The sequence below is a fragment of the Homo sapiens genome, chromosome 4 (genome assembly GCF_000001405.40).
Source record: "Homo sapiens chromosome 4, GRCh38.p14 Primary Assembly".
Classification (NCBI taxonomy): Eukaryota; Metazoa; Chordata; class Mammalia; order Primates; family Hominidae; genus Homo; species Homo sapiens.
In genome coordinates, this window is record NC_000004.12 from 13,659,944 (window position 1) to 13,684,869 (window position 24,926).

A 24,926-nucleotide genomic window follows, 5' to 3' on the forward strand; every position below is an offset into this window, starting at 1 on the left:
CAGTGCTTGGTGTAGAGCCAGAATTTGATAAGGGTTCATCTCCTGCTCATCCTCATCCTGTATGAATAAGTCACTCGATGTTTTCAGTGTCATTATTTCTTCATGCCTAAAATTCAGATAAGAAAGTGTTTCTTACAAATAGGTTATTGGGATATGGGACAAAATGAGTCTGCTGAGTGTGATAGTTGCCTATTCATTCACTCATTAAATCATTCATCCAACCAACTGCTATTTGTTAAGTACTTAGTAGGGATGTAACATAGACACCTCCATATAGAGGTCAGTAGTGGGGAAGTCAGATAACAATTATGTGAATAAATAGATAACCGAAATAAAACTTTTAGAATATCATACATGCTAGAATGAAATAGTAATTAGATAAAAATACTAATGGTAATAATAATGATAAAAGCTAACATTTATTAAATACTATAAGCCACACACTGTTTTAAACCTTTACCTGTATTACGCATTTAATCCTTATCAACACCCTATTCTTTCAAAAAATAATAAAGTTATTATTACATTTTATAAAGAGCTGGAAAGCAATGGGGAGCAGTTGGCATTTTTGACAGTGTGGCCAAGAAAGACTTCCGTGGGAGGTGACAGATAAGCAGGGCTGGAAGTGTTCATTTCTCATGTATCTCTAAGATCCATGTTCCTCTTTCCACTCACCCCACCCCTGCACCACGATTGTTTGGTGAAAACCACCATATTGCTCATTGTCATTGCAACTACCTTCTAACTGGATGCCCTTCTAGCAGCCAGAATGGTGTGAGAGTGACTGGAGGTGCAGACAGGTTGGCTATATGCATTTGGTCCATTTACTTCTCTGCTGACCTTTCTAGGATGTGGCTTATTGATGTTCCCTGAATTTGAAGACTACATGGTTCAGACTCTGGGATAACATGACATGGAGTAATGACTCACTACCATGTATTCACCCAAGGGGAAGCTGGGAGTTTGTCTTTTAAACATTAAGTTATGCCATTTACTGTGGGAATGGGGCAGAAAATGACCCAGTGGTGGAGGCAGAAGCAAGAATAACATCAACAAAGGATAAGTTCCACAGCTTTTCACCTCCAATATCCCACCTGGGTCTCCCAACAACCTTGTAAAACTGATTGCTATGCATGTTGCATGTTTGGGAGATCAGAGAAACAAAGGCTGAGATGCTTCATAAGTTTAGCCAAAGCCATACGGCTAGTGCTTGAGCTTTTTCATAAATAAAGAACCTGTTCATTCACCTGACCATAGCCTATGAAGACAGTGTCTTTCTTTTTATTATTATTATTATTATTATTATTATACTTTAAGTTTTAGGGTACATGTGCACATAGTGCAGGTTAGTTACATATGTATACATGTGCCATGCTGGTGCGCTGCACCCACTAACTCGTCATCTAGCATTAGGTATATCTCCCAATGCTATCCCTCCCCCCTCCCCCCACCCCACAACAGTCCCCAGAGTGTGATGTTCCCCTTCCTGTGTCCATGTGTTCTCATTGTTCAATTCCCACCTATGAGTGAGAATATGCGGTGTTTGGTTTTTTGTTCTTGCGATCGTTTACTGAGAATGATGATTTCCAATTTCATCCATGTCCCTACAAAGGACATGAACTCATCATTTTTTATGGCTGCATAGTATTCCATGGTGTATATGTGCCACATTTTCTTAATCCAGTCTATCATTGTTGGACATTTGGGTTGGTTCTAAGTCTTTGCTATTGTGAATAGTACCGCAATAAACATATGTGTGCATGTGTCTTTATAACAGCATGATTTATAGTCCTTTGGGTATATACCCAATAATGGGGTGGCTGGGTCAAATGGTATTTCTAGTTCTAGATCCCTGAGGAATCGCCACACTGACTTCCACAATGGTTGAACTAGTTTACAGTTCCACCAACAGTGGAAAAGTGTTCCTATTTTTCCACATCCTCTCCAGCACCTGTTGTTTCCTGACTTTTTAATGATTGCCATTCTAACTGGTGTGAGATGGTTATCTCATTGTGGTTTTGATTTGCATTTCTCTGATGGCCAGTGATGATGAGCAATTTTTTCATGTTTTTTTGGCTGCATAAATGTCTTCTTTTGAGAAGTGTCTGTTCATGTCCTTTGCCCACTTTTTGATGGGGTTGTTTGTTTTTTTCTTGTAAATTTGTTTGAGTTCATTGTAGATTCTGGATATTAGCCCTTTGTCAGATGAGTAGGTTGCAAAAATTTTCTCCCATTTTGTAGGTTGCCTGTTCACTCTGATGGTACTTTCTTTTGCTGTGCAGAAGCTCTTTAGTTTAATTAGATCCCATTTGTCAATTTTGTCTTTTGTTGCCATTGCTTTTGGTGTTTTAGCCATGAAGTCCTTGCCCATGCCTATATCCTGAATGGTAATGCCTAGGTTTTCTTCTAGGGTTTTTATGGTTTTAGGTCTAACGTTTAAGTCTTTAATCCATCTTGAATTGATTTTTGTATAAGGTGTAAGGAAGGGATCCAGTTTCAGCTTTCTCCATATGGCTAGCCAGTTTTCCCAGCACCATTTATTAAATAGGGAATCCTTTCTCCATTGCTTGTTTTTCTCAGGTTTGTCAAAGATCAGATAGTTGTAGATATGCGGCGTTATTTCTGAGGGCTCTGTTCTGTTCCATTGATCTATATCTCTGTTTTGGTACCAGGACCATGCTGTTTTGGTTACTGTAGCCTTGTAGTATAGTTTGAAGTCAGGTAGTGTGATGCCTCCAGCTTTGTTCTTTTGGCTTAGGATTGACTTGGCGATGCGGGCTCTTTTGTGGTTCCATATGAACTTTAAAGTAGTTTTTTCCAATTCTGTGAAGAAAAGCATTGATAGCTTGATGGGGATGGCATTGAATCTGTAAATTACCTTGGGCAGTATGGCCATTTTCACGATATTGAATCTTCCTACCCATGAGCATGGAATGTTCTTCCATTTGTTTGTATCCTCTTTTATTTCCTTGAGCAGTGGTTTGTAGTTCTCCTTGAAGAGGTCCTTCACATCCCTTGTAAGTTGGATTCCTAGGTATTTTATTCTCTTTGAAGCAATTGTGAATGGGAGTTCACCCATGATTTGACTCTCTGTTTGTCTGTTGTTGGTGTATAAGAATGCTTGTGATTTTTGTACATTGATTTTGTATCCTGAGACTTTGCTGAAGTTGCTTATCAGCTTAAGGAGATTTTGGGCTGAGACAATGGGGTTTTCTAGATATACAATCATGTCGTCTGCAAACAGGGACAATTTGAGTTCCTCTTTTCCTAATTGAATACCCTTTATTTCCTTCTCCTGCCTAATTGCCCTGGCCAGAACTTCCAACACTATGTTGAATAGGAGTGGTGAGAGAGGGCATCCCTGTCTTGTGCCAGTTTTCAAAGGGAATGCTTCCAGTTTTTGCCCATTCAGTATGATATTGGCTGTGGGTTTGTCATAGATAGCTCTTATTATTTTGAAATACATCCCATCAATACCTAATTTATTGAGAGTTTTTAGCATGAAGGGTTGTTGAATTTTGTCAAAGGCCTTTTCTGCATCTATTGAGATAATCATGTGGTTTTTGTCTTTGGTTCTGTTTATATGCTGGATTACATTTATTGATTTGCGTATGTTGAATCAGCCTTGCATCCCAGGGATGAAGCCCACTTCATCATGGTGGATAAGCTTTTTGATGTGCTGCTGGATTCGTTTTGCCAGTATTTTATTGAGGATTTTTGCATCAGTGTTTATCAAGGATATTGGTCTAAAATTCTGTTTTTTCGTTGTGTCTCTGCCCGGCTTTGGTATCAGAATGATGCTGGCCTCATAAAATGAGTTAGGGAGGATTCCCTCTTTTTCTATTGGTTGGAATAGTTTCAGAAGGAATGGTACCAGTTCCTCCTTGTACCTCTGGTAGAATTCGGCTGTGAATCCATCTGGTCCTGGACTCTTTTTGGTTGGTAAGCTATTGATTATTGCCACAATTTCAGATCCTGTTATTGGTCTATTCAGAGATTCAACTTCTTCCTGGTTTAGTCTTGGGAGAGTGTATGTGTCGAGGAATTTATCCATTTCTTCTAGATTTTCTAGTTTACTTGCATAGAGGTGTTTGTAGTATTCTCTGATGGTAGTTTGTATTTCTGTGGGATTGGTGGTGATATCCCCTTTATCATTTTTTATTGCGTCTATTTGATTCTTCTTTTTTTCTTTATTAGTCTTGCTAGCAGTCTATCTATTTTGTTGATCCTTTCAAAAAACCAGCTCCTGGATTCATTAATTTTTTGAAGGGTTTTTTGTGTCTCTATTTCCTTCAGTTCTGCTCTGATTTTAGTTATTTCTTGCCTTCTGCTGGCTTTTGAATGTGTTTGCTCTTGCTTTTCTAGTTCTTTTAATTGTGATGTTAAGGTGTCAATTTTGGATCTTTCCTGCTTTCTCTTGTGGGCATTTAGTGCTATAAATTTCCCTCTACACACTGCTTTGAATGTGTCCCAGAGATTCTGGTATGTTGTGTCTTTGTTCTCGTTGGTTTCAAAGAACATCTTTGAATGTTGGAGTACCCTGCTGTGTGAGGTGTCAGTGTGCCACTGCTGTGGGGTGCCTCCCAGTTTGGCTGCTCAGGGGTCAGGGGTCAGGGACCCACTTGAGGAAGCAGTCTGCCCATTCTCAGATCTCCCACTGGGTACTGGGAGAACCACTGCTCTCTTCAAAGCTGTCAGACAGGGACATTTAAGTCTGCAGAGGTTACTGCTGTCTTTTTGTTTGTCTGTGCCCTGCCCCCAGAGGTGGAGCCTACAGAGGCAGGCAGGCCTCCTTGAGCTGTGGTGGGCTCCACCCAGTTCGAGCTTCTGGGCTGCTTTGTTTACCTAAGCAAGCCTGGGCAATGGTGGGCGCCCCTCCCCCAGCCTCGCTGCCGCCCTGCAGTTTGATCTCACACTGCTGTGCTAGCAATCAGCGAGACTCCCTGTGCATAGGACCCTCTGAGCCAGGTGCGGGATATAATCTCGTGGTGCGCCGTTTTTTAAGCCCGTCGGAAAAGCGCAGTATTTGGGTGGGAGTGACCCGATTTTCCAGGTGCTGTCTGTCACCCCTTTCTTTGACTAGGAAAGGGAACTCCCTGACTCCTTGCGCTTCCCGAGTGAGGCAATGCCTCACCCTGCTTCGGCTCGCGCACAGTGCGCGCACCCACTGACCTGCGCCCACTGTCTGGCACTCCCTAGAGAGATGAACCCGGTACCTCAGATGGAAATGCAGAAATCACCCGTCTTCTGCATCACTCACGCTGGGAGCTGTAGACCGGAGCTGTTCCTATTCGGCCATCTTGGCTCCCCCCACCCCATAGTGTCTTTCTTAAAAACAAAGCCAACTACGACCACCACCACAATTACTACTACTTGTTGCTATACATATTTACCCTGTGCCAGTGTCTTAATTCTTGCTGCTATAACAAAATATTATAGACTGGGTGGCTTATAAACAATAGAAATTTATTTCTCACTGTTCTGGAGGCTGAGAAATCCAAGATCAAGGTGTTGGCAGATTCAATGTCTGGTGAGGGCCTGTTCTCTGGTTCATAGATGGCACCTTCTCACCATGCCCTCACATGATAGAAGGAGTGAGAGGTCCCTCTGGGACCTTTTTCATAAGGGCACTAATCCCCACTCATAAGGGCTTTAAACCCATCATCTAATCACCTCCCAAAGGCTCCACCTTTAAATACCATTACCTTGGGAGGCTAGAATTTCCACTTATGAATTCTGGGGAGACATAAATATTCAGTCCATAGCATTGTATTCTGGCTTCCCCCAAAATTCATGTCTTTCCTACATGCAAAATACATTTATTCCATTCCAATAGCTTCAAAAGTCTTAACTTGTGCCAGCACTGACTTTAAAGTCTAAGTCCAATGTCTCATCTAAATATGATATTTAGATATCAGATGTGGGTGAGACTGAAGATATGATTCATTATGAGACAGATTCTCTTCTAGCTGTGAGACTATGAAACCAAACAAGTTATATGCTTCCAAAATGCAATGGTGGAACAGGCACAGCAAGACATTCCCATTCCAAAAGAGAGAAATAGAAAAGAAAAAACGAGTGACAGGTCCTGGGCTAGTCTAAAACCTCAAGGCTTGAGAATGATTTTCTTTGACTCCAGGCCCTGTTCTCTAGTCTTACTGGGATGGTGACCCTGATCCCATGGCTCTATTGAGCATTGCTCTAGTCGGGGCTCCCTGTGGTGGCTGTACCCTATGGCCCCTCTCATGAGTCATGAGCCTGAGGCTCTGAGCAGCTCCATCTTTCTAAATCTGGGTAGAGGCGGCCATACACCCATGGCTCATGCACTTTGTTATTGGCAGATATGGTACCTTGTGGATGCTGCCAAGATTTATTATTTATGCCTTCCGGAAGGACAGCCACAGTGACCTGCACCACACCTTGTTGGAGGCTTAAAGAGTGAGGGTCGTGATCAACTCAGTATACCACTGGAGACTATATGAGTAAGCAGCAAACTGTTGCTCATAAATGCAGAATTTTGGCAAACTGACAAACTGCATCTGCCACCCAGAAGGACTGCTGAAGGCAGTCATGACCCAGGCACAAGTGTTTCTTATGATTAGGCATAATTGAAGCCTGTTAGTAACAATATGAACCTGTGATCAATTAAGCAGCTGACCAGTCATTACCTCCTCCTTCCTGCTCATTCTACCCAATAAATAAGAAGGGCTGTGGAAGCTTGCGCAGCTGCCTTTGCTCTCTAGAAGCAGGGAGCCCTTATCCTCTTCTCTTCTTCTCTCTTCCTCTTCCCCATGCTAGCCTTTCCTTAAAATAGTTACTTTTGTTTTTTGTTATCATTTCTACGTTCGTCCCTTCGTGAAGTCATAATGACAGTCTCAAGCAGTAACAGTAGTAAGTGCTGTAATGATGGTCTCAAGTAGTAACCATGGCAGTCATCACACACTTGGCCTCACTGGAGCCACACCTGGGTGGCTGAGAATTGCCACCCAGGAATTGCCACTGGAAAGTAGGGAGTAGAGCCTAAGATAGTGCCAGGCAGCCAGTGCTGAGGGCCCACAGGTGTCTGAGGCTCTTTCTTTAAAATTGTTCTGTCCTCCAGGCTCTGAACTCTGGGCCTGAGAAGATAAAGGCAGCCTTGATGATCTTTGAAATGCTTTTGGGGTTACTTTTCCCTTGTCTCAGACAATAGGTCCTGGATGATCCATACTAGTCTTATCAAAAGGTTGCTTGGCCACACCCTATTCCTGAATATACTTTCTGATACTTTTAATATGGGTAGGCTGTGAAATTTCTTAACCTTTAAATTCTGTTTCCCTTTTGATTAAAAATTCTGTCTTTAAATCATTTTTCTTTTCTTATATTTGACTATAAATATTCAAGAGGAGCCAAGCCATACCTTCAACACTTTGCTTAGAAATTTCCTCAAATATCCTATTCTTTGTGTGCAAATTCTACCTTTCACAAAACACTAAGACACAGCAATTCAGCCAAGTTCTATGCCACTTTGTAACAAGGATAACCTTTCTTCCAGTTTCCAATGACGTGTTCCTTATTTCTATCTGAAACCTTACCAGGATGGCCTTTACCATCCATATTTCTACAAACATTCTGTTCATGACCACTTAAGTATTTCCTTAGAAGGTTGAGGCTCTTTATACAGCTTTCTTCTTTTCATCCTGACCCTCACAAGGGTCACCCTTAACAGTCCACCTGGCAATGTAGGCTATGTTTTAGCCTACCCCTCAAAACTTTTCTAGCGTCTACCCATGATCCCATTTCAAATCTGCTTCCATATTTTTAGATCTTTGTTACAGTAGCACCCCCAATTCTTGATTCCAATCTTCTTTGTGAATTTGAGCTGTTATAACAAAATACTACAAGTTGGGTAGCTTTGTAAAGCAGATTAATCTATTTGTTACAGTTCAGGAGTCTGGTAAGTCCAAGGTCAAGGTGCTGGCAGACTTGATGTCTGGTAAAGGCTTGCTCTCTGGTTCATAGTGCTTTCTTGCTGTGTCTCCACATGGTGGAAGGAGTGAGGGGTCTCTCTCAGGTCTCTTTTTTTCATAAGGACACGGACACCAACCCCACTTATAAGGGCTATGTTCTTGTGATCTAATTACCTCCCAAAGGCCCCACCACTTAATACCATAACCTTAGGGGTTTAAAATTTCAACATATGAAATTTGAGGGGACAAAAACGTTCAGACCATAGCAGCCTGATTCTGAATCAAGAGATTCATATATATTAACCCATTTAATCCTGTTGCATGCTGTGTAGAAATAATTTGGCAGTATCTAGCATATGGTAATAATTTAATTAATGTTAATTTAAATGACTCTATTTTTGGATAAGGAAAAACTGAGGCCCACAAAGGTTAAGTATCCTGTACAAAGTTGCACAGTTGGTAAACAATGGCCCTAAGATCTGAATACAGGCCATGTGGTTATGTGGTTTAGCTCTTATCCATGATGTACTTTGCCTACCTGTGTAATGGTTGGGTTGTCTCAGTGTGTGTTTGTGGGCAGTACATGCTGAGTTTTAGTCTTTTGCGACTTGTTTCTGGCAATACTTAGAGGTTCTTTCTTTTTTATTCAAATTTCTATTTTAAGTCATTTTAGCTTTGGATTTCCAGTTGTGATTCCTCCCTAGAACCAATTCATGTCTTTCTCATTTAGGAAGGTCTGAGGATCTGGGATCTTGGAGGAGGAGGATTTTTTACTCGTGGTGCCTGAGTGATGGATGATTTTTCAAAGAGTTTCTAGAATTCCATACTCATGAGCACAACTGGATTTGAAATTTAAATCATAGGGGTTTTCTATTTTGCATTTTGTGAAAATTTCAAATGTAAAGCTATTCCCTAAGTAGATAATGTCTTGGCATTCCCTCTTCTCTAGTCCAGGCTGCAACTTTTTGTTCACTTTGCTTTATTCCACAAAGATTTTATCTGTTAGGCTCTGTGCCCAGTAACATAGAGAAAGCAAACTGAAGGGGATTCAGACTCTATATTCAAGTCTCTGGGATATGGCAGATAATTCTTTCATGAATGAGGTAATATTTTACCCATGACTTGAAAGATGCTTGGATTTTGATAGAAGGAGAAGGAAGTATAGCTCAGAAATCCAGAACCACCTGAGCCTAGGCATGGAGGTCAGAAAGGTCAAGATGAGCTGAAGGAGGCAGAGGACATTTCAGATAAGCTTAATATTTCTGTTTGCAGCAGAGGAAAATGTGACTCTTTAAATTTTTGGATGCTCTTCTCTGAAGATAGGGTAGCCTCAGCAGGGGCTTTCCACTCAATCTCACCGTTGGAAACCTTATTTTATTTTATTTTTTTTTTGAGACGGAGTCTCACTCTGTTACCCAGGCTGGAGTGCAGTGGTGCGATCTCGGCTCACTGCAAGCTCTGCCTCCCGGGTTCACCCCATTCTCCTGCCTCAGCCTCCTGAGTAGCTGGGACTACAGGTCCCTGCCACCATGCCCTGCTAATTTTTTTTGTATTTTCAGTAGAGACGGGGTTTCACCGTGTTAGCCAGGATAGTCTCGATCTCCTGCCCTCGTGACCCACCCGCCTTGGCCTCCCAAAGTGCTGGGATTACAGGCGTGAGCCACCATGCCCGGCTCGTTGGAAACCTTTACCTGTCACATCTCCTCAGAGAATGAAGAGACCCTTCATGTCTCACGAAGTTAACAGTAAAAGCCAACGTTTATTGTTCACTGTCTTAGCCCATTTAGGCTTCTATAACAAAAACACCATGGTCTGGGTGGCTAATAAACAACAGAAATTTATTTCTCACAGCTGTGGGGGCTGGGAAGTCCAAGCTAAAGCACCAGCAGATTTGGAGTCTGGAAAAGGCCCACTCCCTGGTTCACAGATGGTACCATTTTATGTAACCTCATGTGACAGAAGGGACAAGGGAGCTCTCCAGGGCTTTTTATAAGGGCAGTGAGCTCATTTTTAAAGGCCTTGCCTCATGACTTAATCATCTCCCAAATGCCCCACCTCCAAGTACCATCAGATTGGGGTGAGAATTTCAACATATGATTTTGGGGACACAAATATTCAGTTTATAGCATGCACTTTCTGTGTGCTAGGGACAACGGTAAGCACTTTATATGTGTATTGCCTTTGAGCTAGTGTTGATTATTCCCATTTTGCAGGGGAGAAGCCAGTAGGTTCAGAGAAGTTCCAGGTCACAGGCCAAGTAAGGGGTGAAGTAGGCTTTCAACTCCAGGTGTGTTGGACTCTAAACCTTCTGCTTCTTTCACTACACTTTGGTACTAGAAGGAGATTTTCTAGGAATTGGCAGTGGAAAGAACACTGCTGTTGGCCTTAGAAGGCAAGCTTGGAGCTGTGGTGGTCAGTTCCCATTGAAGGCTTTAGAGCAGCACTGCTCTAAAATATGATTCCAGCCACATAGGCAATTTTAAATTTACTATTAGCTCCATTAAAAAAGGAAGAAGAAACATGTGGAGTTTGCTTTAATCATATATTTGATTTAACTCAATATATGTAAAATATCATTTTAACAGCAATCAATACTAAAAAAGTTATTAGTGGAAATATTTATATTTTTATAGCAAATCTTTGAAATCCTATGTTCATTTTACGCATAAAGTACATCACAGTTTGGCCTAACCATGTTTTGAGTACTCAATACACACATGTGAGCAGTTGTTGCCTTCCTGGATGTCACAGGTTTACAGGAAGCTTTAGTCATCATCGCCATGATAACAACAATTGCTAACTGTGATCAAACATTTATTAGGTGTTGGAACTTTTATTAGTTTGCTAGTGCTGCCATAACAAAAGACCACAGAGGAGGTGGTTTCAACAACAGAAATTCATTTGCTCAAAGCTCTGGAGGTGACAAAACCAAAATGAAGGTGTTGTCAGGTTTGATTTTTCCTGAGGCTTCTCTTCTTGGCTTGCAGATGGCTACTTGAGTCTCATTGTGTCCTCATATGGTCTGCCCTCTGTGTAAGCACATCCCTGGTTTCTTTCTGTGTGTCCAAGTTTCTTTTTATAAGGACACCAATCAGATTGGATTAGAGTCCAGTCTGACAGCCGTGTTTTAACTTAGCCACTTCTTTAAAGGCTGTCTGCAAATACAGTCACATTCTGAGGTACTGGGGCTAAGCTGTCAACATATGAATTTGATGGAGAGGCACAATCCAGCCTATAAAGACATCAAGCTATATATTTTATATAACGAGTTTAAATTTTCATAATTTAATGATTAGTACTATCAGTAAATGTATTTTACAGATATAAAATTTGTGGCAAAAAGAGATCAGGTATTTTCTTTAAGGTCATACAACTGGTAATGCAGAGCCAGAATTTATTTATACACAGTTTTGTCTGATAAGAGTCTTCATTCCTTTGCAAAATTCACTGCAGAAAATTTAAAATATAATTGGAAGCCTTGATAACAGACTAGACAAAGCAGAGGAATGAATTTCAGAGCCTGAAGACTGGTCTTTCGAATCAACCTAGTCAGGCAACAATAAAGAAAAAAGAATTTAGAAAAATGAATAAAACCATGAGAAATACGGAATTATGCAAAGTGACCAAACCTATGATTCATTGGCACTTTTTAGAAAGAAGAGAAAGTATGCATCTTGGAAAACATATTCGAGGGTATAATCTAGGAAAATGTCTCCAATCTCACTAGATGGGTTGACATGCAGATACAGGAAATGCAGAGAACTCCTGAAAGATACAAGACGACCATTCCAAAGGCTTGTACTCATCAGATTTTCCAAAGTCAACACCAAAGAAAAAATCTTAAGGGCAACTACAGAAAAAGGCCATATTACCTATAAAAGATATTACATCAGACTAACAGTGGACTTCTTAGCAGACACCTTATAAGCCAGAAGAAATTGGGGGCCTATTTTTAGCATTTTAAAAGAAAAAGAATTCCAACCAATAATTTCATATTCTGCCAAACTAAACTTCATAAACAAAAGAGAAATTATAGTCTTTCCCAGACAAGCAATCTCTAAGGGAATTTGTCACCACCAGACTGGCTTTACAAGAGATGTTTAAGGGAGTTCTAAACATAGAAACAAAAAACTGATACTTCCTACCACAAAAATACATGTAAGTGCATTACCCACAGACCTCATAAAGCAACTACACAATCAAGACTACACAGCAATTAGCTAACAACACCATGTCAGGAACAAAACTTCACATATCAACGTTAACTTTGAATGTAAGTAGCCTGAATGCTCCACTTAAAAGACATAGAGTGAAAAATTGGATGAAAACCAGGGCTCAACCATCTGCTATCTTTAAGAGACCCAGCTCACATGTAATGACGGCCATAGGCTCAAAGTCAAGGGGTGGAGAGAGATGTATTATGCAAGTAAAAAACAGAAAAGAGCAGGGGTTGCTATTCTTGTATCAGACAAAACAGACTTTAAACCAATAACAGTAAAGATGAAAAAAAGAAGGAAATTTCACAATGATAAAAGGTCCAATTCAACAATGTTTAATCATCCTAAATATATATGCACCAATACTGGAGCAACTGGATTTATAAAGCAATTACTACTAGACCTAAAAAAAAAGACTTAGCCACACAATAATAGTGGAGGACTTCAATACACCACTGACAGCATTAGATAGATCATCCATGAAGAGTCTTCATTCTTGCCACCCAAACTGGCCAAATGAAACATGGCTGCCTTCATGATAGGTATATTTGGGTGCAGCTAAGAGCCTGTTGCACTTTATTATCAGCTCCTCCTAATAGTATATGGAAAAGCAGCGCCATCAGGGAAAGGGATCCAGAAGGCTAGAGAAGTTGAGAGCACACGTGGGTTTTTATTTTTATTTTTCTGACAGGAACTTTGATCTTGGAATGGAGATACAGGTCTGGCAGGAGAAGGGCTGGCTGCGCCGATGGGGTTGAACAATAGGATTTGACATCCTGAGCAAAGGAGGAGATGGTGATGGCTTCTTGGGCTGGCTACATCACTGAAGATGAAGAATACACTTTTCCCCCTGAAGTCTAGCTGACCAAACACTCAAGGATATGAAATAAATATGGATGGTATTGTAGGAGGAATTGTGTCCCCCAAGATAATATGTTGTAGTCCTAACCCTGGAACCTGTGAATGTGACTTTATTTGGAAATAGGGTCTTCGTAGATGTAATTAGTTAAGAAGAGATTATACAGCGTTAGTGAAGCTGTAAGTCCAATAACTTGTGTCTTTATAAAAAGGCCATGTAAAAACAGAGACACACAGGGAGAGCACTATATGAAGATGGAGGCAAAAATTGGGGTGATGCATCTATTAGTTTGATACAAAAGTAATTGCATTTTTTGCCATTACTTTCAATGGTAATACATGCCAAGGAACACCAAGGATTACCAGCAAACACCAGAAGCCAGGAGAGAGGCATGGAACAGATTGTCCCTCAGAGCCTGCATAAGGAAACAAGCTTGCTGATATCTTGATTTTGTACTTCTGGCTTTCAGAACTGTGAAATAATACATTTTTGTAATTTTAAGTCACCAAGTTTGTGGAACTTTGTTACAACAGCCTTGGGAAACTAGTACAGATGGGAAGGGAGAAGCATTGATGGAAATAATTGCTTTGGATGATAATAAATATGACTCAGAGCGAAGAATAGAGGTGCAGGATGTGTCTGGGAACTTACAGGAAAGAACACATTTAGAGGAAGATAGAAATTCTGGTCTTAGAATCTTCACACAATTGGCTGGGGCATAATATATAAAATAAAGTAATGAAAAAAGGCGGTAGGTGTGATATTTCAAAGTCACCAAAAAGTGGGCTGGAAATTACTATTTGGTATAAACGGAAACAAGAATATACCTATTACATCGGGAGGAAATTGTGTTAACAAGAACAAAAGACAGATTTATGGAAATCAGAGGGCCTGAGAGGGGAATCAGGCCAGCAAAGCTTAGGGTGAGGATATAAATAAAGATGCATTGAAGTGATGTTCTTAAAGGTATAATAAAAAGCCATGTGAACCTTGGAATGAACAGATGTCTTTGTTTCCTGTATCACAAGCTGGCTCAAAAGTAAGATTTTGTAGTAATGGAAACCATGTTAACTGTCCAGATATCTGCTACACGTTTTATCTGACCGAAAGTGGGAAAGTGTGACACGACTTTTTTTCTTTCTTTACTGATAATTTCATTTCACAATGGCCAATGGCAAAATAAATTTCTACTCTGGACTTAATTATGAGCTGTTAATTGGTTGGTGAAGTGGAGGTGACAGGAATCTTAAGAGAGCCAGATGGGATTTCATTTGGGGTGATATGACCTTACTGAATTTTTGAGCACTAATGAGAAGATAAGATAAACTTAGTCAGGATTGCACCCTAGACTTTGGAAAGAAAGGTTTAAAAAATTTTCAGAGAGCATCCTTATCTTTACTTCTTATTGGTGGATAATGTCAGATTCCATAGGCTTTCTTTCCCTCACTCCCTTCCTCTGACATACTTCTACTTTCAAGTGAATCATCAAGGAATATTAAACTTTAGCATTTAAAAGTTGAGATTTGCCAGGACTGGCATTTGAGGAAAAATGAAATTGGTGCTCAGCCAAAAGTCAGGCAGCCTCATGAAGCTTCTGTGCATGGCTGCATCCAGGTGGTGGCACTCCCACTGGATGAACTCTTATTTGCTGTATATCAAAGGTAGATGGTTGTGCTTGTCACATGCTGCTATCATGCTTGTTAGAGATAAATGGCAGCTTGTTTGTTTCATCAATGTTAATTTAGATTGTTGTACATTGTTAGCAAAATTTTATAGTGGTTTGTTACTTTTATTATGGGAAATGAAAAGATTTTTGTCATTTATATTTTGAAACTATAGTCCTCCAATAACTATACATTATTATATATATTACCATAAATTAGAATGTGAAGTAGCAAGCTGCTATGGTTAAAGCAAAGGAATACATCAACTTCACCATCCTTAAATATTGTACTGTACACATTTTGTTGCTAACACTAGAAGCAGATTAACAAGTGTGAATGTTGATCCTACCTAAGCTATTTAAACCTCACCTCTTTTATCACTAAAATGGGAATAATAGGACCTATTTTAGTGAGGGTTAAATGACATCATGCATATGCAGTGTAGAAAATGTTCAATAAATAGCTAATAATTACTACTAGTTAAAGAGTGCTTATAATTGTCTAGGCACTATATGAAGTGTTTTGCATACGTTGACTAATCCTCAGAAAGCCACATAAGGTAAGTACTACTGTTATCTCTAATGGTAGTTAATAGTTGTAGATAATGGTAATTTTATAAATAAGAAAAGCCCAAGGCACAGGGCATTTAGGTTAACTCTCAAAATCACAGTTAGTAAGTGGCAGATTGGGTATTTGGACCCAGGAAGCCTGCTTGTAGGCATCTTACTGGTAACTAGTATACTGCCTCTGATAATAACAACAGCACACACCTTTCTTTTCCAAAGGCATCATACAATAAGTTGAAAGTGATGGCCAAGTGAATGGTCTCTATTCATTTGCAAACCATTTCTCTCCCTACTTTCTGTGGGCATCTGGAGGGGATGTGTCTTACCCCAGTTTTCAACACTAACCTCAACCCTTGCTCAATGAATGAATGGCTGTCAATCTCATCCCCTTATTTACCTTTTTGATCATGGTATTTTTGTTAATGATGCTAATAAAGCATTGTTCCATCTGGGAACACCACCTGGTTGGAAGTCTTTCTAGATTCCACTTTGAATCCAATGCTTCTTGCTTGAAGTATACTTTGTTGAAATTCCAGGACCTTAGGCTGCCTCTAGAACAGAAGCCATCCAGCTGAGCACCTGGAAAATACCATTTTCCACTTGTGTTTATCAGGAGCTCCCTGGTCATAGACTTTTTAAAAATGTAGGAGGTACAAGGGAAGGTTTCATGTATGCATGTATTTTGCAGTGGTGAAATCTGAGCTTTTTGTGAACCCATCACCCAAAGAGTGAACTTTGGACCCAATAGGTAATTTTTCAACCCTCACCTTCTTCCCACCCTCTCACCTTTTTGTAGTCTCCAATGTGTATTATTTCACTCTGTATATCCATGTGCACCCATTACTTAGCTTCCATTTATAAGTGAGAACATGCAGTATTTGACTTTCTGTTTCTGAGTTATCTCAGGATAATGGTCTCCAGTTCCATCCATGTTGCTGCAAAATACATAAGTTTATTCTTTTTAATGGCTGAGTAGTATTCCATGGTGTGTGTGTGTATATATATATATGTATATATGAACATGCTATAAATATCCTTATGTATGTCCTAAAAATGTTCATTGTTAAAATAACCTTTTAAAAGTACAGTTTCCACTTGTTAACAAAGCAACAGATGAGTATTTGTTTAGATTTTTCAGCTTTAATTCAAATATATGACATATTGGTAAAGCCCACATTGTAAAATTCATAATATTCTGTTTTTTTCTATATGCAAGCTGAAAAGGACATGTACAGTGTACATGTATATATGTGTATGTACACATATATACACACTGCACATATTTACACACATATATGTACATACCATACATATGTGCACACATATGTACACACTGCATATATGACATGGTACATATGCACACACATGTACACACATATACACACTGTATGTATATACACACATATATGCACATACTGAACTTGCATATATATACACACACATATATATATACTGTATACATACAGACACACACACACACACACAAACACACCCTGTATTTTCTTTATCTAATCCTCATTGATGGAAATTTAGGTTGATTCCATATCTTTGCTATTGTGAATGGTGCTGTGATGAATATATAAGTGCAGATCTGATCATAGATTTTTAGTCTTGAAATGAAACTTAGTGATAGGCCACAAGAGAAGAAATAGAGATCCAAAGATGTGAGGTTACTTTCTGGAGCTTACACAGTCAGGGGAAGATTACAGACTAGAAGCCAGGATGCCCAACACTGTACGTGTCTTTTTCAACTTGCATATAGAAAGAAAACTTGGAATATTATGAACAAGATGAGCTTTACTAATACATCACAGAACATTTGAATAAAGCTGAAAAATCGAAACAAATATTTGTCTACTGCATTGTTAACAAATGGAAATCTGTAGTTTTAAGAGGGTATTTTAACAATGAACATTTTTAGGGCTTGTATAAGGACATTTATAGAATGCTTATGAACAATAAAGCTGAGACATTACAATTTAATGGCACTTGATGGGACCTCAAGTGAAAGTTCTGTACAATTAGCTTTGTTTTGCACATCATAAATCACGTAAGTGTTCTATGAAAGATCAAAGGAATTCAAAACATTTAAACTGTATCATTTGTTGAAGTCTGCAACCATCTACGAACCAAACTAGACAGTACTTTAGGCAAACTAAAATTATTCCACTAAAGGAAACCATAGAAAAGACAGTTTGAGTCAAGGACTCTGTTTGAATCAGGACCCATTAAAATATTTCTTTAACAAATGAGCCATTTGTGAAATTAGATTTCAAGCAAAATGGCTAGTCCACATTTTAAAATAAGTGGCTTAAGATTTTCCTTAGAAAAGAAGAGATTTGTGAATTTAGGGGAAAGATATCTTCTTGATGAATATATTAATAGCGGTCAAAGATAATAATTGATTAATCAATGCCAGGCATTCACTAGATAAATGACCCAGATACAATCTGTCATTCTTTCCTTAGAGCTGCCTCTGTCCTTTGCATATACTTCAGGTATGGCCGTAATCTCACCCTGAAAGTGTATATGGCCAATGAGCAACTTACGGGCAGGGATACTACATGTTTAATTTTTTGTTTTAACAGAAGGTGAATTATTCATGTCACATATGGAATCTGTGGCAGACCCAGGATTAGGACTCAGATCCTTTGACTCAAAGTTCTGTGGAAATAAATGAAGACCCCCCAAATGAGAATAAGCAAAGGCTATTTATTCAGAGCTCGCAATAGCAAGGGAGTCAACAACCATTGTCACTTGTTAAAGACAGGCAGAGTAATGAGAAAGTTTAATAGTGGAAAAAAGGGAAGACTTCAGATATGCCCTGGCTGGAGACTGTTGGCCCAGAAAAGCTGGAAGTGGCTAACCAGAAGTGAGCATCCTATGAGATTGGTTAGGGGTATGTATTTGACTTCTTTGGTTGGTCCTAAGTTGGAAGCAGGAATAAAAATTAGAGAAGCTGTCAGTTATTAATCAAGTCCTAGTTGTTTTGGGCCAATTGTTACAGGGGTTATTATTTGGCTTCCAGGACTGGTTGGTAGAGATATTAGGTTGGTGCAAAAGTAATCACGGTTTTTGCTATTGAAAGTACTGGCAAAAAACCGCAGTTACTTTTGTACCAATCTAATAACTGTCTGACTTCCTGTAGGTGTGACTCATAGACAGCAGGCTGGCTTCCTGGGCTGGTTACTAGAGATAATGTGTGATTTCCTGAGCTGGTTGCTGCAGATTGTGGGTCAGAGTTCATATGGGCTCTTAGGACTCATTTATCTACAGTCTGGCCATTGATTGCATATTCTGTCAGTTCAATTCTCTTCCTTCTAGATCAGGAGCCAGCAAACTTTCTGTAAAGAGCTAGATTAAAAAAAAGTATTTTCAGCTTTGCGAGCCTTACAATCTCAGCTGCAATTACTAAACTCTGTCACTTAAGCACAAAAGCAGCAGTAGACAATAGGTAAACAAATGGATTTGGCCATCTTTCAATAAAACTTTATTTTCAAAAACAAGCAGCAGGCTTGATTTGACCCTAGGGCCCCAGTTCACTGACCCCTGTTCTGGACTGAAGAATTTGCACAAAATCAACAAATGTGCAAATAGCAACTCTCTCCTCCTATGTTGTGATTCATTCCCTTTTGGTCTGTCTTAATGCTATTGAAGCTGTGATCATTGTAGTCTAGTTTCAAAGTGGCATCATATTAAAAAAACATAGTTCAACAACCAAAAATTTTTTAAAATATTATTTTTCCCCTCCTCTCAAAAGGTATTAGCACTCATTTAATTACTAAAGCAATACTTCTCATCATAGTTTCCTTCTGTCTCATTTCTCTATAGCCCATACTCCCATTTATAGCCCATATTCCCATTTAAGATCCTCTTAGTTGCTAAAACCCCCAAAGAAAGCCTCTGCCACGCACAAGGAATCATCATTCCCTCAACACATCACATGGCAGGCAAGAGTAACCTTGTCAAATTGGCAAAGGTGGTCTGTCCTTAGCCTTGAACCCTTGTGTGTACAATATGGCTGCCATAGTTCCAGGCATCACAAGGAGAAAAAATAGTATCCAGAGAAAGTAGAGGCCATTTCTTGCCTGTATCTCCTTAAGAGTGAAGAGCTCTCTCCCAGAAGCTTCGCAACAGACTCATCCTCATGTCTCATTTAGCCAATTGCATTACCTACTCATACCTATGTCAACACTGCCAAGGGCAATGGAATCGCCGTGATTGGCTGAGATCAAGCAGAAGTCACCTGCTGAGGCTGGGGATGCATCCTGTCTTCTCTGATGTACATAGTTTTACAGGGGAGGGTAGATGTGAATGAATGAATTTAGATTCTTTAGGAAGGTTGAGGAAGAGAGGGTTGATATTGAGAAGCCAACCAGTGATATCTTCACCAACAGGCAAAGGGGTAGGGAGAGAAAAGGGAGCAGGAGAAAGAAGAGGATTTATGAAGAGTCTGTCTTCAGGCTTTTAAACATTTTTCAAAGTAAAAACAATTAAGGATATCCTTTCTGTGGCAGATGGAAGGCCTGGCTCTGTTGATAGAGTTGACTCCCGCCTTCCTCTCAACACATTATGTCATGCAAGAGCAGGTAAGAGCAACATTGTCAAATTGGCAAATATTGTCTTTCTTCTCTCCAGCCCAAATTTGATGTCTACTTTTACTCTTTCCATAAATCTCACCCTATTGTGCATTGAGTACCTTGTACACCCCACTGTGAATGTTTTGAGTGGAGGGAGCTCTGGATATGGAGATGGAAAGGCCATGGGCATGAATCCTGGCTCTGACACTTACTAGGTTATGACCTTGGACAAGTTACTTGACCACAATGAATATTAGTTACCCTGCATATACAGAGAAAAGATGTCTGCCTTTCTAGCTCATGCAGTTGTTATGAAGATTAATGAATGAAATCATTTTTCTTAAAGCACCTGGTACATATGCACTAAATAATATTTTCATTTTTCCTGTGGGTTAACCAAAGCTGTCTACTCATTTTTCCCTGAACTCACTCATTTTGTGATTTTCTATCTTCACATGTAGCTTATATCATTTTTTTTCTTTCTAGTCTGCGACTCTCTCCACCTGCAATGCCTTTCCCCCTCTTCTTCATCTTGGATCTGAACCAGTTCAGAACACAACACAAAACAGGAGTGATGATAAGGCCTGGTGTACTAATTTATGATTAAAGATTAAGAACCAAGTATGATCTGAAATGTGAACAAAGAACTATAGGCAGACATCTTAGTCACCTATAATGTAACTGTTGGAAGTCTGGCTTGATTCAGGATTATTTATAAACCCCCTTTCCCTATTTCATACCAGGAGGACCATTCTCTGAAGGAGCTGCAGGACCTGGGGAATGGGGGGCATCATTGGAGAGACCTCATAGTACCATGTAAAGCCCCCAAAAGTTAATATTGTCCAAAAGATACCAGAGTAGTGCAATCCAGAAGCTGTCAGTCTGAGATCAGGGGCCACATGAGACAATGGAATAGGAGCTCAGGATAACTAAGTGGAAGAGAGAAATTACAGTGGGAGCTTTTGGCTGCAGTATTGATCCCTGCAAGTGTCATTTTTCTTCATGGGTGACTTACGTGTTATTTGAGCATGAATTTTCTCATCTTCAAAAGGGAGTCCATACCTAACTCTTATTTCTTATCTTTCATGAGAACGTAAACCCCAGAGAGGTAGAGTCAATATTTATTTTATTTATTAATTTACCAATTATATCTAACTCATAGTATACTACTGACATGTAATAAACACAATAAATACCTGTTGAAAAATGAAAGAGTGTAAAATAAGAGGACATAGATGCAAATCTTTGTAAACTTAGGGTATGATACAAATGAAATATATTCTGTTCTGCTCACCTCCAAGAGCTTAGCATAAATCTCTATATAGAACAGGTATGAAGCTGATGTTCACTGATAGGTCCTATGTCTTGTAAGGAATGTAGAGCATACTGTAAGGTTGCTTTCATCAAAATCTGAAATCTTTTAGAGCAGGAGAAGGCCTGTCCTGTGTAAGACCATCATCAATGTCTTGCCTTCAAGTTGTTTACTGGCAAATGGCTTCCTCCAAATGCAGGGCAAACATTATTAATTGATTGTGATACTTTCCTTTACATGGCCTTCATGTTATTTTAAAACCATTTTTTATAGGCAGCTAATACCAATTGTTCAAAATTGGCACTTACATTGAAGATTATTTGCCATCTATAGTCTTAATTCAAGAGTACTCTTTTTTATTTTGCATGTTTGTTTATTTTCCTGAGGATCTCCATTAATAGAAACTCCACAGTCTCATTTGCTGATTAATTTTTTGTTCCCATTTTTTTGGCCATCAGAAAGTTTTAGTATCCAAGTATAAGCTCTCTTGCTGTAAAAATGGGGCCGTCCTTGTCCTTCAACTCAAACAAGTATTGCAAAGAAATATGATGTGCTTTGCTTCTAAGAAATAAGGGAGATATCAATGGGGAAATGAATCAATCCACCTCAGTGAGATTACTGAGAAGTTTCTGAGAAACAAGCCTCCATGCATACAAGGGCCACACCTAGAACACCAGATTCACTTTTAAGTGCACTTTTCTGTTTCCATAACCTGCTACGCTTATCCACAGTTTTCATCTTCTAAAGCACTTTACAAACATTTACTAATTGATTTATTATTCTGGAACCAGTTCAGAACACAACACACAAGAGTGATGAAGAGGCCTGACATACTAATTTATGATGAAAGATTAAGAACTGAATATGGTCTGAAATTTGAACAAAGAACTACAGGCAGACATCTTAGCCATCTATAATGACTTAGGAGTCTGTGAACTCCAAAGCAAGAGATAGATTATTTCACTTGGCCATCAGAGGTTTCAAAAGAGAAAGTTTATTTATTTCTTAAATGAAGAAAAATTTAGTCAGGCAGATTGATTCATTAGGGCTATGAGCTGTCCCAGGAAGCTGCAGATTCAAGGTGGCTGCAGAACCAAGGTTGAGAACAGAGAATGAAGCTCATTTACATTCAGAAATAAAACCAAAGCCTCTTTATACTCTGCTCTTCCCATTCTCGCTACACTGACCCATCTGTTGTTAATATATAATTTTGAGAAACTTTACCATCCTTATGTCTCTGGAAATAAACTGAGAATATGCAACGCTAAACCTAAGAAAGACTGCAATTTAATACACTGTTAAGAATACTCCATGTTGGGGAACATCACACACCGGGGCCTGTCCAGGGGTGTGGGGGGCTAGAGGAGGGATAGCATTAGGAGAAATACCTAATATAGATGACGGGTTGATGGGTGCAGCAAACCACCATGGCACATGTATACCTATGTAACAAACCTGCACGTTCTGCACATGTATCCCAGAACTTAAAGTATAATTAAAAAGAAAAAAAAAAAGAATAAAAAGGAATACCCCCTGTCAAAAAGATTGTGTCTATTGATTACAGGCTTTAAAATGGGCATTTATATGACTAGTTCTTCCAGGGTTTTTGTTAGCAACTCTGATCTCAGGCCTACAGAAAATGTGTAATAATAGTATCAACAAAACTAGCTCATAGATTCTTTTTAACATTTTTATTTTAATTTATTATGTTATTTTCAATTGGCAAATCATAAATGTATACATTTCTGGGGCACAATGTGAAGTTTTGATATATGTATACAATGTGGAATGATTACGTCAAGCTAGTTAAGATATGTATTACCTCCCTGTCTTTTTTATGGTGAGACATTTAAAATTTGCTCTTAGTTAGTCTGAAATATACAATACATTATTATTATTGATCTGTTACCCTACTGTGTAATAGGTCTCAAAACATATTCCTTCTGTTTACTTTAAACTTTGTGCTTATTGATCAACAGCTCCTCATTCCCTCCCTCTCTTGTCCTCTAACCCCTGGTAACTCTCATTCTACTCTCTACTTCTATGAGTTGAACTTTATTACATTTCACATATAAGTGAGATCATGTGATATTTTTCTTTCTCTTCTTGACTTATTTCACTTAGCATACTGTCCTCCACATTCATCCATGATGTTAGAAATGGCAGACTTTCCCCCCTCCCCATTTAATGCTAAATAGAATTCCATTCTGTATATATACTGCATTTTAAAAAGTCTGTTCAATTGTTGGATACTTAGGTTTATGCCATATATTGGCTACTGCAAATATTGCTGCAATGAACATGGGAGTGCAGATATACCTTGCACATATTGATTTCATTTTTTTGGCTATATACCTAGAAGTAGGATGACTAGAACATAATTTAGTTCTATTTTTAGTTTTTTGAAGAACTTCCATACTGTTTTTCATGATGGCTATACTAATTTACATTTGCACCAACAACGTAAAATAGCACCTTTTCTTTGCATCTTCTCAAACACGTATCTTTTATCTTTTTATAAAAGCCGTTCTAAAAGGTGTAAAGTGACATCTTACTGTGGTTTTAGTTTGCATTTCCCTAATTATTAGTGATGCTGAGCATTTTTTCATGTACTTATTGGCCACTTGTATGTCTTCTTTTGAGAAATGTCTATTCAAGTCCTTTGCCCATTTTTCAATCAGGTTTTTTTTTTTTTCTTACTACTGAGTTGTTTGAATTCTATTACGGTTTGGCTGTGTCCCCACCCAGATCTGATCTTGAATTGTAGCTCCCATAATTCCCACATGTTTTGGGAGGGACCTGACAAAAGATAATTGAATCATAGGGGCTGTTCCCCTATATTCTTCTCATGGTAGAAAGTCTCATGAGATCTAATAGTTTTATAAGGGGTTTCTGCTTTCACTTGGCTCTCATTCCCTCTTTTGCCTGCTGCCATGTAAGATGTGCCTTTTGCCTTCTGCCATGATTGTGAGGCCTCCCCAGCCACGTGGAACTGTGAATCTACTAAACCTCTTTTTCTTTATTAATTACCCAGTCTTGGGTATGTCTTTATCAGCAGCATGACAATGAACTAATACAAGTTCCTTACATATTTTAAATATTAACCCCTTATCAGATGTATGGTTGTAAATATTTTCCATGATTCTTTGGGTTGTCTTCACTTTGTTAATTGTTTTCTTTGCTTTCTAGAAGCTTTTTAGTTTGATGCCATACCATTTGTCTATTTTTGCTTTTGCTGCTTGCACTTTTGGGGTGATACCAAAAAAAGCATTGCCCAGAGCAATGCCATGGAGCTTATTCCTATATTTTCTTCTAGTAGTTTTAGAATTTCAGATTTTATATTTAAGTGTTTAATACATTTTGAATTGATTTCTCTATATGGTGTAAAGGTCAAAAATTGTTTCCCCATTGTATGTTCAAAGGTTGAAAAGAGTGTGCATGGCCTTTATAAATTTGGAAAATCAATGTTTTTCCATCAATTCCAAGGTTATATATAATTTTAAACTCTTTTTTTCCAGGTTGGTCTAGCAAAGGATTTGTCATTTTTGTTTATGTCTTCAAAAAACCAATCTTTAGTTTTGTTGACTTTTCTATTTTTTTCTAGTTTCTTTATTTCTGCTCTGATCTTTGTTACTTCCTTTCTTCTGTTAACTTTGGGCTTAGTTTATTCTTCCTCTTTTAGTTCCTTAAGTGTAATGTTATCTGTAATTTTCTTGTTTGATACAGGCATTTATTACTGCAAATTTCCCTCATGGGACGGCTTTTGTGGCGTCACAAGTTTT

The 24,926-nt window shown here is 38.9% G+C and overlaps 1 long non-coding RNA gene across 1 annotated transcript in view, besides 2 other annotated features; it reads left to right on the forward strand.

Annotated features, from left to right (window-relative positions):
* LINC01182 (long intergenic non-protein coding RNA 1182) overlaps positions 1–24,926 on the forward strand; it is a 276,050-nt gene that overhangs the window by 4,765 nt on the left and 246,359 nt on the right. The gene's annotated exons all lie outside the window — the stretch shown is intronic.
* Positions 4,485–5,023: an enhancer, noted in NCBI's record as "H3K27ac-H3K4me1 hESC enhancer chr4:13666052-13666590 (GRCh37/hg19 assembly coordinates)". NCBI's record gives its function as "activates a minimal SCP1, AML or CMV promoter by ChIP-STARR-seq in naive H9 embryonic stem cells {active_cell/tissue: H9 hESC(naive)}" and the evidence as "EXISTENCE:reporter gene assay evidence [ECO:0000049][PMID:30033119]".
* Positions 5,024–5,561: an enhancer, noted in NCBI's record as "H3K27ac-H3K4me1 hESC enhancer chr4:13666591-13667128 (GRCh37/hg19 assembly coordinates)". NCBI's record gives its function as "activates a minimal SCP1, AML or CMV promoter by ChIP-STARR-seq in primed H9 embryonic stem cells {active_cell/tissue: H9 hESC(primed)}" and the evidence as "EXISTENCE:reporter gene assay evidence [ECO:0000049][PMID:30033119]".